Source organism: Homo sapiens, chromosome 5 (assembly GCF_000001405.40).
Source record: "Homo sapiens chromosome 5, GRCh38.p14 Primary Assembly".
Classification (NCBI taxonomy): Eukaryota; Metazoa; Chordata; class Mammalia; order Primates; family Hominidae; genus Homo; species Homo sapiens.
In genome coordinates this window covers 151,104,971-151,121,457 of record NC_000005.10, presented here as the reverse complement: position 1 = coordinate 151,121,457, position 16,487 = coordinate 151,104,971, and the positions used below count along the sequence as shown (strand labels likewise).

The 16,487-nt window shown below is 47.2% G+C and overlaps 1 protein-coding gene across 3 annotated transcripts in view; it reads left to right on the top strand.

Annotated features, from left to right (window-relative positions):
• Nucleotides 1-16,487, top strand: part of ANXA6 (annexin A6) — a 57,074-nt gene that overhangs the window by 36,322 nt on the left and 4,265 nt on the right. For 2 of the 3 annotated variants that reach the window (NM_001155.5, NM_001193544.2), the window contains 7 exons: nt 2,068-2,158; nt 3,621-3,700; nt 4,278-4,331; nt 10,814-10,831; nt 11,612-11,705; nt 12,908-13,003; nt 16,155-16,213. In NM_001155.5, coding sequence (NP_001146.2) covers nt 2,068-2,158; nt 3,621-3,700; nt 4,278-4,331; nt 10,814-10,831; nt 11,612-11,705; nt 12,908-13,003; nt 16,155-16,213 — 492 coding nt within the window. The remainder of the gene's footprint in view (nt 1-2,067; nt 2,159-3,620; nt 3,701-4,277; nt 4,332-10,813; nt 10,832-11,611; nt 11,706-12,907; nt 13,004-16,154; nt 16,214-16,487) is intronic. The other variant, NM_001363114.2, reaches the window with a different exon arrangement.

Below are 16,487 nucleotides of genomic sequence, written 5' to 3'. Positions count from 1 at the left end.
GCCCAGAAGTTGCTAGAACTGCTTTGCTTCCCAAGGTACCAATTGTACTAATGGCTACTGTTTATAAAGAGCATATGGTAACTCTCCCAGGTTAGGTACATTAGTTCAATTAGTTGCCTCCTCAAGCCACAAGGCAGGGCTCTTATTTTGTCCCCATTTTACAGATGAGGAAACTGAGACTTGGAGGTTAAGTTGCTTGGTCATGGTCATAGAGCTATGAAGTAGCAAAGCTGAGGTTCAGACCAGTCTTTCTGACTCTAGAGCCTGTCTTGACAACCGCATAAAACCAGTAGTGCTTTTGGCCCCTTGCGCATTAAGAGGAGGGCAGCAATGGGGAGCTAGAGGACTTTATAAAAACATTGCCTAGGCTAAGCAGATTGAGATGATTGTTTCTTAAAATACCTAAGCCAAAAAGCAAACGATCTAAAGACACAGGGTTCAGAAATAGAAGAGATCGATGAGGTAACCCAACTGAATCCTTTCCATTTTCAAAGTTTCCAAGTGGGAAACAGAGAGGCTCAGAGAGTCAGTGAGTTAGGGGGAGACGAGGGCTAGACCCAGTCTCAGGACTTTCTTGATTGCCTCACCACACACCTGCTTCTAACAAAGAAATGATTGAAGATCTCAATCAGGATGAATCTCCTAGGATCTGAGAAGGCAGGACCATTAGAGCACTAGGCAGTAACCTCTTTGAGGACAGAGAACATGTCTTGCCTCTTGCCTTTCTCTTTTTTTTTTTGAGACGGAGTCTCGCTCTTTCGCCCAGGCTGGAGTGCAGTGGTGTGATCTCGGTTCACTGCAACCTCCACCTCCCAGGTTCAAGCGATTCTCCTGCCTCAGCCTCCTGAGTAGCTGGGATTACAGGCGCACGCCACCACGACCAGCTAATTTTTTTGTCTTTCTAGTAGAGAAGGGGTTTCACCATGTTTGCCAGCGTGGTCTTGAACTCCTGACCTCAAGTGATCTGCCCTCTTCAGCTTCCTAAAGTGCTGGGATTACAGGTGTGAGCCACCACGCCCGGACTTTTTTTTTTTTTTTTTTGTAGTTGTAGCCCCAGCACCTTGCACAGTGGCTAGCACATAATAGGTGTCTTAACAAGTACCTGAATGAGTGAATTAGTCATTGACTCATTCAGTCAATCAATCAGTCAATCTTGCCTGCCTCCTCTCCTCCCTGATAGTTTCCCTGCTTCCCTGTGTGCAGATCTTTGCATGACAGGTCCCCAGCCTGCCTTAGTCCAGGGCATGTAACGCCTCAGTTCATAAATCACTCCTCAAATCCAAGAGTAAACAAATGTAAGCCAGCCATGATGGCTCACGTCTGTATTCCTAAAACTTTGGGCTTGAGTCCAGGAGTTCCAGACCAGCCTGGACAATATGGTGAAGCCCTGTCTCTACAAAAAATACAAAAATTAGCCAAGCATGGTGGCATGCTTCTGTGGCCCCAGCTACTTGGGAGGCTGAAGTAGGAGAATCACCTGAGTCTGGGAGGCGGAGGTTGCAGTGAGCCGTAATCATGCCACTGCACTCCAGCCTGGGCGACAGAGCAAGACTCTGTCTCAAAAGAAAAAAAATTTAGCATTTTATCTTAAGCACAAAACTTTTTTTCTTCTAACAAAATAATACATGTTCACTGTGGAGACTTGAAGAAATAGAGTAAAAAAGAAGAAAATAGCAATCATCTGTGATCCTTCACTCACACAGAGACCAAACTGCTAGTTAACACTGTGAGGCATGTGCGTGTCCTTCTGTTCTCTTCCAATACTTACAAGTAGAAATTTCTATTCAGATGTTCATGTGTATATGTGGTGTTATACACACACGCCTATATACCTTTTCTGTTTGGGGGGCTGGAAGGCAAAGCAGTTCACATGGGAGGTTCTGGGGATCTTGAGAGGCTGGCATAGTCAGCCTTGGTTGTGCCAAGGTCTTGGGCCTGAGGGCCATGTCTGGAGGTGAGGAGAAAATCCAGGAATGCTTGGCCTGAGCTTTAGCCGTCCGGGCCCCATGGACCTCTGCACAGGAGGTCAGAACTATGGCTGAGATCATCTTTGCCTTGACATTCCAGGGAGCCGGCACAGATGAAAAGGCTCTTATTGAAATCCTGGCCACTCGGACCAATGCTGAAATCCGGGCCATCAATGAGGCCTATAAGGAGGGTGAGTTTGGGAGGCCTGGGCCCAGATGCTGGGAGAACAGCCAGGCCCCCCAACTTCCAACCCCAGCCCACAGCTCTGCCCAGGACTCTGGCCTGTCTCCTTTCCCTCAGTCCTTGAGGATTTGATAAGCCTCTTGGGTGTGCCCATCCCTGTGTCTGGGGAAAAGACAGGTGTCCTGGTAGGACAAAGGCCTGGAGGTAGAAAAGGGCTTGGCTGGAAGTGGGAACAGAGAACATTCTGGCCTGCTGGAGAGAGGGAGGGCGACTCTAGGGGTGTGTAGTCCATGCAGTTCTACAGGGCCCCACAGCCAGAAGGGCCCCACACTTGGTTGCAAGCTATGCTGTCACTGTCCAGAAATTCTTCATTTTTAAGCGAGTGGCCCCATATTTTCATTCTGAAGAATCTTGAGTACCAGTCAAAAATGTTTAAATCGGCTAGGTGCAGTGGCTCACACCTGTAATCCCAGCACTTTGGGAGTCTCAGGCAGGCGGATTGCTTGAGCCCAGGACTTCGAGACCAGCCTGGGCGACATGGCAAAACCCCGTCTCTACAAAAAATATAAAAATTGGCTGGGTGCGGTGGTTCACCCCTGTAATCCCAGCACTTTGGGAGGCCGAGATGGTGGATCCCTTGAGGTCAGAAGTTCAAGACCAACTTGGCTAACATGGTGAGACCCCGTCTCTACTAAAAATGCAAAAATTAGCCAGGCGTGGTGGCATGCGCCTGTAGCCCCAGCTACTTAGGAGGCTGAGGCAGGAGGATCACTTGAACCTGGGAAGCAGAGGTTGCAGTGAGCCGATATCACGCCACTGCACTCCAACCTGGGAGACAGAATGAGACTCCATCTCAAAAAAAACAAAAAACAAAAAAATTAGCTAAGTGTGGTGGCATGTGCCTATAGTCCCAGCTACTCAGGAGACTGAGGTGGGAGGATCACCTGAGCCCAGGGAGGTCGAGGCTGTAGTGAGCCTTGATCATGCCAACTGCACTCCAGCCTGGGTGACAGAGTGAGACCCTGTCTTGAAAAAAAAAAAAAAAGTTTACATTTTTTATCTTATAAGCAGCTTTAAAATGGCAGAATTTTTGAGTACAGGAGTGACATAGTCAGAGCTCTGCTTTTGGGTTTAGCAACTGCCATGCAGGAGGGAAGGTAGAAGAGAGAATGACAACAGGGAGGTGACTTAAGAGGCTGTTAAATATTAAAGGCGAGATGCAATGGGACCTCAACTGGGACAGAGCTGAGGGGATGGAGGGGAGATGATGGGTTGATGGGAATGCCCATTGTCTTACAAAATCAGCAGGAGGATGGCTGGATGCCCCCATGAGCCAGTTACAAACCCTTTCATCCCCACCTCCCCCTGCCAATACTGCCCTGGCTCAAGCCTGAGTTTCCTGGACCTCCCTCCCCGCAACCAAATCCTTCTTGGCCAGCAGCTACCCACACCCCCTTTCTCTGCCTCAGACTATCACAAGTCCCTGGAGGATGCTCTGAGCTCAGACACATCTGGCCACTTCAGGAGGATCCTCATTTCTCTGGCCACGGTGAGTGAATTCATGGGCCCCAGGTCGGCTTGCCCATCGGGAGGCCTGGGAGGAAGGGAAGGTTTACTGAGTGGAGGGCACAGGGGAGTTAGAAGTGCACTCCTGATGGAGAGGGGGTGTCTCCCCACTTGCCTCCTTAGAGTTCCACCGCCTACCCCTGTTGTTCCCTTGTCAAAGTTGGCGTGGTACCACCTTCTCCAGACAGTCCTCCCTGGTGGCCCTTGTCCTGGCTTGTTGGGCCCCCAGCTCACAGGACAAAGCCATATGGGTGACCCTCTCCTGTGTTGTTACCTGGGAGCTTCTGTCACCATCTCTTGAATTCCCATAACCAAAATGGCAGACCCTCATTGACAGTTACCGAGAGCTTGCTGTGTGTCAGGCATTGGTGCTAAGTGTCTTGCACACATTCTCAGTTAATGACCACAACAGCCTACCTTATAGAGGCAGGATTTTCGTCCCTGTGTAGCTGATGAGGAAGAGCATTCAGAGAGGTGAAAATGAGCAGGGTGTGTGGTGGTACAGAGATGGAGATGGGTCGATGTTTGGGGACTGAACTTTCTTGCTGCTCCTGCTGCAGGGGCATCGTGAGGAGGGAGGAGAAAACCTGGACCAGGCACGGGAAGATGCCCAGGTAAGACCCCCAGCCCACCCCAGTCACCTCTGCCGGGTGTCCCTGAGATGTAGGTCCAGCTTATGCGTGTCTACGCCGGGCCCTGTCTGTGAGTGAAGGCTCCTGGCAGGGGCGTGGTTGGTTTGATTGGTTGATACTTAGACTGTAGAAATGAGGTTTAGAAGTGTGGTGCTGGTATTACTGGCATTTCCTAGGTGAATAGCAGGACCCTCAGAGCTGGCAGGGACCTGCAGATCACCCAGGTCAAAGCCCTCATGTTACAGTGGGAAAATGGAGGTCCAGAAAGGGCAAATGACTTCTGAAAGTCACACAGCAAATCAGTGGCCCCAGTAGAATTGACCCCTAGAGAGCTGGTCTGGGAACTTGCTGAGAAGAGGGCCTGAGTGCTAAAGGCCTCGGTTTATTATCTGTAAAATGGGACCGAGATTGGAGGGAGTGTCCTGGGACGAGCCTAGAAAGTAAGTTCCTCAAGGGCTGGAATCTTCATTTTGTTCACTGATATATCCAAAGTAACACATGATCAGTGCTCAATAAATATTTGTTGAATGAATAGCAGGGAAAAGGGTTCTCTAGGAGTCTCTTGGCTGCTCTGCCTCAGCCCTGCTCCTTAGCCTAGTGAGCTTGAGGTCTGGAAATGGCTTCTTCTGGAGGTTGGACAACCCCAAATTCATTTTCCCTGAGGGTTCTATGGCTGGGCAGTCCCTACTGAGGCCAGTGCATTGTCCCCCACTGACCTGCACCTTGATCCCAGCACCCAGTAGCCTGACCCAGGTCCATGTCTCCATCTCTTCTGACTGCCTCATTTTCCCGCCCCCAAAAGCTGTGTCCAGGGATGTGGGGCACAGACACCACAGACTTTTATAGACATCCAGCCCCCTTCTTTTATAGTTGGTGAGTTGAAAAGAGCACTGATGGATTGAGAGTCAGGGAACCAACTTTTCTGTTCCCAGGTCCCATAACAGAAGTGTGGTTTGCTACAACAGCATCTGAGCTAGAAAAATCTTTAGCTGGAACCTGACAGTTACAGAATTGTAATTATAATTTTTAGAATGCATACTATATATTGAGAACGATGCCAAGATTATTCTATACGTTTTTATGTTCTCCCTTTTTACTAGAAGAAAATGAAGCTCCTTAACCTCTTCAATGAAAGAATTTCTAAGTGGTGGTGGTTTTATTTGAACTCAGGCTTGCCTGATGCCAGAGTCTATGCTTAATTCCATTTACAGTAATATCTTCCAAGACCCAGTAGAGTTAAGGTCCCCTGCAGCTTCCACATCAAATAGCTGTTGTTGTCCAGTTGTCCAACCCTTGCTTTGGAATATGGTTGTCAAAAGCTGCAGGGTTACATTTAAATGTATGGCATTTCAGCTACATTGTGGGCACATGGATGGGGGTTAGGCTGAGAACCCAGCCAGACACTAGGGTGGCTTGCTGAGGCCACATTTCATTCACTCATTCAACAGACGTTTATTAAGTATTACTGTGAACAGCCTCGTGTGCTGCTGAGAGTTTTTTAAAAATCTCAGCTCTCACCCCAAATCCATCCTCCAACCCTGAATTGATCTTCCAGGGAATGCTTCTGCCTGGTGCCTGGTTTGCCAATGAGGCTGTGCTTCCAATTGCCGCTAGCAGGGGGCAGTGGTGGGCCTTGCTGACAGCTGCTTCGCAAAAGGAGAGAAGTGGAGAGAGAGAACCCGGGTGGAAATAGCTAAGGGACCCTTGAGCGAGATCCCTGCCCAACTCGGCTGCTTCTCCAGATTTAGGATGCTAGACCCAAGCTCATTTTCTTATAACTAGCAGTACATTCTTTTATAGAAACTAGAAAATAAGGAGAAGCCAAAAAAGACTCCATAACCTAATAGTAATAAGCATTGTCAGTATTGTGGCATACATTATTCTAGTTGCTTCTCTATGTATATATAAAAGTGGATTCTTTATTTCTGACAGTTAAAAATTAATACTATGTGAATATTGTTGCATTTTTAAATCAACGATATCATTTAATGGCTATATACTGTTCCATATCTGAATCTACCATGTTATTTAACCAGCCTTCTTCCTAGTAGCAAACTCTTTTATCACATTCATGAATTATTCATTAGAATGAATTTCCAGAGATGAAATGGAAATGTGGGAGCAAAATGTATATAAAAATTAAGGGCATTTGATAGGGCCGAGTCAAGCTCCCCCTTAGATAACGCACATGAGTACTTGGCAGTTTGTATTTGCCTGTTTTACACTGCCTCCCTGGCGGTCTCTCACTCTGGATGTCTAGAACACCCTCAAGCTCTTAGAAGTCTGGGACTGTTATTAACCAGTTGAACATATGTCCAATTTCCAACTGTGGCCCCACAGTGATTGTTAATTGCTTCCCCTTTCACTCTGTTGTCCAATTAGAGCAATAAATTATAAATAATTATTATAGACCTACCATGAAATGAAGGATTGTGGTCATTTTTAGATAATCAATACTCAGACTTTTTTTTTTTTTTTTTTTTTTTTTTTTTTTTAAGACGGAGTCTCGCTCTGTTGCCCAGGCTGGAGTGCGGTGGCGCAATCTTGGCTCACTGCAACGTCTGCCTCCTGGGTTCAAGCAATTCTCCTGCCTCAGACTCCCAAGTAGCTGGGATTACAAGCTCCCAACACCATGCCCAGCTAATTTTTTTGTATTTTTAGTAGAGACAGGATTTCATCATGTTGGCCAGGCTGGTTATGAACTCCTGACCTCAAGTGATCCGCCCGCCTCAGCCTCCCAAAGTGCTAGGATTACAGGCGTGAGCCACCATGCCTGGCCCAGGCTTTTAAAAATATAACAGCTTTCTTGAAATAGAATTCATTTACCCCACTATTGACCCATTTAAAGTGTACAATTTGGTGGTTTTTAGTATCTTCACAGACTTAATGCAACCATCACCACAATCAATTTTAGAACATTTTTTCACCCCCAAAAGAAACTCCATACACATTAGCTGTGACTCCTCATATCCTACTAACCCCCCAGCCCTAAGCAACCACTAATCTACTTTCTGTCTCTCCAGATGTGCCTCTTCCAAACACCTCATGTCAATACAGTGATATTAATACGTGGCCTTTTGGACTGGCTTCTTCACTTAAGAAAACACTAACCTAAACACTATGTTAAACACTTAACAGTGTTTTCACGGGTCATCCGTGTTGTAGCATGTTGGTACTCCCTTTTCATTGCCAAATAATAGTCTATTATCCATTCATCAGCTGATGGACATTTGGGTTATTTCCACCTTTTGGCTATTATGACTAATGCTGCTCTAAACATTTGTGTACAAGTTTTTGTGTGCACATATGTTTTCATTTCTCTTAGATAGAATTGCTGGGTCATATGAGAACTCTAAGTTTAACCATTTGAGGAACTGTCCAGATTAATTTTTGCATGAAGTAGCTAGGCTAATAAGAACAAGCTTTTGTGGTGAATATTAATTTAGTGTCCCACCACTTTTTTTTTACATTACAGATATTATTATCTTAAAGATGCTTTGAAAAACCGAGTATGTCTAGGGTACTCTGACCCGCGTAAGTGAGAACAATTGGGACTTTGGATTCTTTTCTGTTAAATTTTTTAAACATGTCCCTCTCTCTCTCTTTTTAAAAATGATACCGTTTTATTTAGCATAAGTTTTTACAAATTTTTGATAAAATACATATCAACTTTACCATATTAATCATTTTATATATTTATTTATTTTGAGATGGAGTTTTCCTCTTGTTGCCCAGGCTGGAGTGCAGTGTTGCAATTTGGCTCACTACAACCTCCACCTCCCGGATTCAAGTGATTCTCCTGCCTCACCCTCCTGAGTAGCTGGGATTACAGGCACCTGCCACCACACCCGGCTAATTTTTTGTATTTTTAGTAGAGACAGGGTTTCACCATGTTGGCCAGACTGGTCTCAAACTCCTGACCTCAGGTGATCAACCTGCCTCAGCCTCCCAAAGTGCTGAGATTACAGGCGTGAGCCATCATGCCTGGCCAATCATTTTAAAGTATACAGTTCAGTGGCATTAAGTACATTCACATTGTTGGGCAGCTGTCACCACCAGCCACCTCCAAAACTGTTTTCGTCATGCAAAACCAAAACTCTGGACCCACTCAACAGTCACTCCCCATTCTCCCTTCCCCCAGCCCCTGGCAACCACCATTCTTTCTATGTCTGTGAATTTGACTGGGGACTTCATGTAAGTGAAATTATACAGTATTTATGCTTTTATGACTGGCTTTCTTTACCTAGTATGATGTCCTCAGGGTTCAACTAGGTTTTTGTTTTGTGATGTTTGAGATAGGGTTGAGACCCAGGTTGGAGTGCAGTGGCACAATCTTGGCTCACTGCAACCTCCACCTTCTAGGCCCAAGCAATCCTCCCACCTCAGCCCCCCAAGTAGCTGGGAATAACGGCGTGCGCCACCATGCTCAGCTAATTTTTTGGTAGAGTAGGGTTTCTCCACGTTATCCCGGCTGGTCTCAAACTCATAGGCTCAAGTGATCCTCCCACCTTGGCTTCCCAATGTCCTGGGATTACAGGTGTGAGCTACTGTGCCTGGCATAGGTTGTTTTTAATACAGAAAAATATTTTAAAAACCAGAAGCAGCCCATAATCCTAGTAGCCTTGATAACTCTTATTTAACATTTAAATTTAAAATGAAATAATATCTTTGCATCTTTAAGAAATTTTCAGGAAGAATAAAAAAAATGCGAAAGCTTTCCCTCATAGTCCCTCTCCTCAAAGGTGTCTCGACAGTTTCTTAAGTACTTCCCAGGAAGTATGAGAAAGTGAGTGTCTATTTTTTTTTGAATCTAGATAAAAGAAACACTATATTACACAAAAATATGCTATACTTTACTTCTTTACTTAATTTAAATGGAAACTCTCCTTATCAGCATTGTAGATAATCTTATCCTTTGTAAAAACTGCATGGATTGTTTCCATTGATTGGATAAGTCATAGCCTGTTTAACAAGTCAATCTCAGGATGGTTTACAGTTTTTCTCTAGTATGAAAAATGCTGACCAGGTGCAGTGCCTATAATCCCAGCACTTTGGGAGGCTGAGGCGGGTGGATTACCTAAGGTCAGGAGTTCGAGACCAGCCTGGCCACCATGGCAATACCCCATCTCTACTAAAAATACAAAAAAAAAAAAATTAACTGGGCTGGTGGCATGCACATGTAATCCCAGCTACTCAGGAGGCTGAGGCAGGAGAATCGCTTGAACCTGGGAGGTGGAGGTTGCAGTGAGCTGAGATCGCACCACTGCACTCTTTGGGAGGCCAAGGCAGGAGGATTGCTTGAGGCTAGACTGGACAACAAAGTGAGACCCCTTCTCTACAAAAAATAAAAAAATTAGCTGGATGTGGTGGCACACACCTGTAGTCCCAGCTACTCAGGAGGCTGAGGCAGGAGAATCGCTTGAGCCCAGGAGGTCAAGGTTGCAGTGAGCCGAGATTGTGCCAATGTACTCCAGCCTGGGCAACAGAGCAAGACCCTGTCTCCAAAAATTAAAAAGAATGCTGCAGTGAACAGTCTTGTATTCTATCGTGGAAGGCTTTTGCCAGTATACCTGTAGGGCAAATTCCTAGCAATATAATTGCTTGATCAAATGGCATATGCCTTTTAACTTTTAACGGACATTGCCAATTATGCAATGAAAAGAAGAGGAAGGTTTCCAGAGTATAGGCTATTGTGAAGTTTATAAAGAGTTCAGTCTATCCAATAGAATAAAGTCAGCAGAGTTTCTGGGGGAACGGCGAAAGCAATACGCAGCCTAGGTACATGAGCCTGGGTATTTTGTTCCCAGGCTCTCCAAGTCACAGCTATTTGCCTAACAAAATAGTGTCCTAACCACAGAATTTTGTGCTCTGCATAGTGCAGTGATTAAAAGTAACCCTTGTAAAATGACTTTCCCATCACTGTTTGCTGTGTGCCTCCAGGCAGGTCAGCTCCCCTTAAGGCCTCAGCTGGCCAGTCTTTCCTGTCTGTAACATGAAGGCTAAAATTACATGTCTCTTGCCTTGGAACTCTGAATATGCTAAAGGGTGCAGAGAACTTTGCACTGCTCACATTTACATCTCAGTGGTTCTGTAAGGAAGTGGCAGGGATTATTTCCACTTTCAGACAAAGAAACAGGCCTGGAATCTCCTCTGGGTTTTGGGGTGCGAAGGGCAGAGTTCCCCATTTCTGTGTCTTTCTCTTACCCTTCAAGTGAACACGTTTTTAGTTATTGCCAGGCCTATCCGCATTCTGAGCTCCAGCCCAAAAGGTCATAGGAAGGTATTTTTATCTTGTCCCTACCCCCCTTCCTTTCGCATCCCGGGTTCTCTCAGGTCTCTTGGGACCTCTCCCACTCCCAGCCAGGCCCCTCACCCTGCACCCCAGGGCCCCAGCACCAGCCTCCCCAACCTCCTCTGACTCTTGCCTCCCTTCTCTCCCTCCTCTCTCCCCTCCCTGCTCTCAGGTGGCTGCTGAGATCTTGGTGAGTGTCCTGTTCTTCATTTGGGTTTTAACGGCCTCTGAGTAAAGTCCGCCTTTACTGGGCCGAGCGGGGCAGTATCGAGCAGTGATTTGGGAGCTTGCTGTGCGGCTTCTCTCTCTCCCCTTCCGGGCCCTGCTTGGTAAAAGATAGGCCAGGCAAGTGTTTCCCAAACTTCAGCTAATCATCTCTGGCACGATTTGTGCTGTGTAACCACCAGCTATTAATACTGATCTTTAAATCGACTCACTCTTAAACCCAAAATGAGTTAAGGGGAATTTACTATCAGTATAAATAGAACTAGTAGCTAGCTAGAAGACAATCATGGAAACACTAATGTGCAGTGTGATCGGGTGTGTTTGCCCTTGACCCCGCTTGGGGAAACACTGGCCAGGCCATCTTCTCTGCATATGACCCCATACACCCTTCCCAGAGGGGCTTGCAGAAAGGTTGAGGGATGGAAGGGGAACTCCCAGTTGCTATGCTCAGAGTCTATGTGGGTCCTCCTAGGAGCCCCAGCCCCACGGTCCTGAGGCTAGGATGGAAGTACCCAGTGCTAAGGCCATCTTTGTCAGTTCACAGGGTCCTTGTGAACTGGAGAGGGGAGTATAGAAGCCATTGTGCTTGAGGAAGGAAGAGGGGACCAGTCTCGGCCCCCTTGGATGGCTGGGTGAGCCCAGCTTCTGACTGCCCTCAGCCCAGGCAAAGACATGAAAGTGAATAATAACCAAGGCTTTCTCATGTCTCCCCTCCCAAATCCTTGCTCCAACTGGGGCTCTGCAGGAAATAGCAGACACACCTAGTGGAGACAAAACTTCCTTGGAGACACGTTTCATGACGATCCTGTGTACCCGGAGCTATCCGCACCTCCGGAGAGGTGAGGCCTGACCTCCTCCCTTCCCAGCTCAGCAGGAAGATCCCAGAATCTGATGAGAGCCTCTCAGCTCTCTGTGGCAAGAGGAGCCCGTTGCCCACCCACCTCCTCCTTAACCCAGCAGTAGCGTGTCATGGGTGACGGCGACTCTGGAGCCCTGGGTTCTAGTCCTGGCTCTACCACTTATACCTCACCTTCTTTCTCCTCCTTAGGGAAGCAGGTGGGATGCCCGGGATTAGGTATAGCAACTGGATTTCACCTCAAAGGCCAACTCTGATTGGTAGTAGCTGCCTAGAGTGCTGTGTTAAGGATTCTGGGGTCCCGCGTCATGATTCACTGGCGATGCCTGCCAGGAGCAAGGCAGCGAGAGGTGGTGGTGGCACAAGACCCACATAGACATCTTTGAACCACAGGCTGCCGCATGCTCAGGGCACACCTGTATGCAGTGGCCCTGGCACTCGGTAATCATGAAGTGTCCTGCACTGAGACATTTACATTTTAATGTCTGGCACTACATTAAATGTCTACATTTAATGTCTGGCACTTCTCAGTATTTAAGGTGCTTTAACATAGTGGCTAAAAGAATGGACTTGGGCACTGGACGGCCTTGATTTGAATCCCCCACTTAACAGCCATGTGACCTCAGGCAAGTCACCGAATCTCTGCGCCTGAGCTCCCTTACGTAGGAATCAGGGTTTTAGCTCTACCCGAGATGATTGTTGTGAAGATACAAAAAACATAACACACATAAAGCACTGGCGCAATGCCTGACTCAGTGAGTGTTTCCTGAGTGTTATCATTGTGTCTTCATCCCAAGCGGACACAGGAGGAAGAGGAGGCCCAGGAAGGAGAGGGATCACCCAAGGTCCCTCAGTGAGCTGGGGCAGAACCATGACTAGGACCCGTGCTCCTTTTACTACCCCAGCCTGGGTTCCCAGAACTTGGCCGAGGTTCTAAGACCATTGGCCAGGCACGGGGACTGGCGTGGGACAGATTTGGCTCTGAGCCCACGGCAGCCTTGATGTCAGAGCTTCTCTATCGGGATGATCTTGCCCAATGCATTTAGGCCTGGGCTGTGGCCATATTTGCTGCCCTTCCACTTTCTCAGGCACAGCCTGTGGGAGGCACTGGGTGGGGCTGAGGAGGGGTCCTCCGCCTCCTGCACTGAAGCTCACCCCCACCTCTGGGGCTTCTCTTGTGGCCAGTCTTCCAGGAGTTCATCAAGATGACCAACTATGACGTGGAGCACACCATCAAGAAGGAGATGTCTGGGGATGTCAGGGATGCATTTGTGGCCATTGGTAACTGGCAGGGACTAAGGGAAGGGCTGGGGGCACTGGGAACTTGAACAGATTCTCTGGAAGAATAGAACCTTGGCAGCCTCCGAAGCTACTACTGGAAAGTAAACACTGTCACAGTTCGCCTCCAGGGGTGCTGCCAAATGTGTGATTGTGCAGGAATGTCATGAGGTCTGTGCGAGGCTGCAGGAGAGGGTGAGAAAATAACTGTTGCTAGGGAAGAACCAGGAAGACTGGGGCAGGCAGGGGAGGGGGCACGCTGTCCTGCACAACTAGGGTGTATACACACACACACCACACACACACTTGACACACACACCTAACATATACAAGACACATACTATACACACACACATTCTCACATGTGACACACACTCATACATAAAACACGTTACATATGCATGTGACAGGTGCACACCACACATACACACATCACACACAGAACACATTATATATACACATACATGCTACACCCCCACAAGACACTACACCTACACACACACCACTCACACACTATGCACACATGACCCATGCACACCACATATACGCAGCACACATGCACACACATACAAGACACATACACGCTAGATGCAGATGACACACACACAGACCCTCGTCTCCTCTCAGTACCTGGCTTTTTGGTTACGCTTATATAATTTGAGCTCTTGACTTTGAAAAGGTTTTTCCCTTTTGGATCTTAATTCCACCGTGTATAAATATGGATGAGTGGATATGGGTTAGGGCTGAAGTTATTCTCATTAATATTCATCATTAGTGGTATCTTGTTTCATTTACTATAAAACACATTGCATCAATGCACTTTTAAAAAATCTTACCAAGAGGTATCCGTGGAAGATTTTCACATAATTGCCTTCAATTATAAAACACATCTTGATTTCAGAGACACTAAAATGTGGGGGAAAGGTGTGTTAGATTTGGGTGAAGTAGAGGTGGTGGTAGGGGTGTTGTTTAGCACGTGATGGGCCTTTACCACCCAGGAGCAATATCTAGGAGGCGGGATAGCCCGACGAATAAAAGCATGGAATCCAGGTTGAATCCCTGCTCTGCCACTTACTCACTATATGTCCTTGGGCAGGTCACAAAACCTCTGTGTCTCAATTTCCTCCTTTGTAAAGTGGAGATAACAACAGTGCCCAGCCCATAGGGTGGATTTTGTGAGGCTGAAATTAGTTAATTATATGTAAAGCACTTGGAACGGTGCCTCTTGGCATGTAATACTCACTGGACAAGGGTTAGTTTGTATTTGTATTGTTGTTTCCCACCAAGCCCTGCGCAAAGTTAGTTGCACGCAGGTTTAGTTACATTCTCATCAGGTGCTCTTAACCAGCTTATTTTACAAAAGAGGACACTGAGTTCAGAGAGGCTTATAGCAGTAGAACCAGGACTCAAACCACAGGCTGCCTACCTCCAAAGCTCATGTTCTTAACACCAGAATAATTAGCCTTTGGAGACACTTTCAGATTCCTACCCTCCTCGTGTATTTCCCTCTTCCCTTTCTCCTCCCACCTTGAACAGGTATACACGTGCAAACACACACCACAACACACCATTTCACACTCCTCCATCCAATGGCAGGCATCGGGGTCCCATGTGACAGATGGACAGGCTCAGTTTTTAGGAAGACTTGTGGGGTTGGTTACAGAGGAGAGAAGTTTCTGCCCAGCGTGCTTCTTAGCCAGACTGATAAAGCCCTAGGTCTGAAGTCAGGGAAGGCTTCCTGGAGGTGATGTCATGACTGGGGGCATGGACATCAAGTACAGCCTTGAAGGATGGGATTTGATTTAGAGAGATAATGTAGTGAAGGGCAGATAGGAAATGCATCTATCCAGGAAGGACAGAGAGACACAGGAATTTGCAGTTTGTTCTGGGAATGGGGGAGCAAGGGCCATGAGGTTGCAAAGGAGGCCAGGAGCTTTGACATTCAAGCCAAGGAGCTTGGGATTTGTTTGGGAGGTAGTAGGGAGATATGTAAGGAGCTGGAGATGGGAGGTGTGTGATGTGATCTTTTCCACAGGGTTCCTGAGCCTGTTGCAGAGGAGTCTTGCTTGACTCTGCCACTGGGGTACGCAACTCCAGCCTCTTGCCGTCTGTTCTCATTATATCCAGAGTCATTCCAGCTATAGTACTGGTGTCTGGTTCCTCCTTTTTAAGCTGTCTGAGACACCTGTGCGTGGGCTCTGGAGCCTTGCAGTCAAGCAGCTGTGAAGGGCTAGAGAACCCTAGGCTTTGAGAAAGGGCGGGGTTGGTGAAACCAGGCAGGCATTATCTGCAGCCAGGGTAGGGAGCAGGGGCTGCCAATCCTGCAAGATTGTTCAGGCCCTGGGGAAACACTCAGCCCCAGGGATTTGCATGGTCCCTTAAATTTTACCAACGGACAGTCATTCTTTGGAGCAATATTTCTCTAAATCAGTAACTCTCAAGCATTAGGCTGCACCAGAGTAGGGTGGCCAACCATCCTGATTTGCGCAAGGCTTTCAGTGCTGTTAGGTTGGTGCAAAAGTCATTGCAGTTTTGCCATTGAAAGTGATGGCAAAAATTGTAATTACTTTGGCACCAACCTAATAAAACCTGGAGTGTCCCAGGCAAACTAGGACAAGCTGGTCACTCACCTCTAGAGTTTCAGATTCAGCATCTCTGGAATCTGGAATCTGAGGCATGAGAATCTGCCTTTCTTCCAAGTTTTCAAGTGATGCTAATGTTGTTGGTCCGGAAACCACACTTTGAGAACCACTGCTCAAAATCTTTCCAAAATCTGAATCTTTAGGGTGGAGCCTAAACCCTGAGTTTTAAACAAGCTTTTTGGGTGATTCCAATGCATTTAAAAATTTGAGGCCCCGTGCCTTGGGTTCATGAGGAGTTAATTACCTTTGAATCCTCTCCTGACCTTGGTTAGCTGTAAGCACCTTAGAAGGAAGAGAGTTGCAACCAATTGAGAGCCAGGCCTAAGGATGGGCCAGAGGAGGAAGCATGGGGAAGGGGAGCAAAGGTGTCGTCTGAGCATGACCCTGGGGTTGACAATGATCTGCAGACCCATGCAGGGATAGACGAGGTGGGGAGATGGGGGAGGCCGGTCCAGAGTCTGGGTTCACAGCCTCTGACCACGTTCCCCGCATCTCTCTGCTCTTCCTACCAGTTCAAAGTGTCAAGAACAAGCCTCTCTTCTTTGCCGACAAACTTTACAAATCCATGAAGGTAAGAAAACATGCTGGCGTTCCTTTCCCTTCAAGCACTGACTTACATACACACACAAACACACAGATGTGCACCATCCCCCAGATCAGGATTCCTGGCAGCTGTTTCTTCCCATTTGACATTTATTAGCATCTGCCCTTGTCTGGCTCTAGGATGGTATTTCCCAGTTGGGGGTGATTTCCCCCGCCTTCCCCCGCCCCGGAGGATATTTGGCAATATCCAGACACATTTTTGGTCATCACAACTTGGAGATTGTTGCTACCAGCATCTGGTG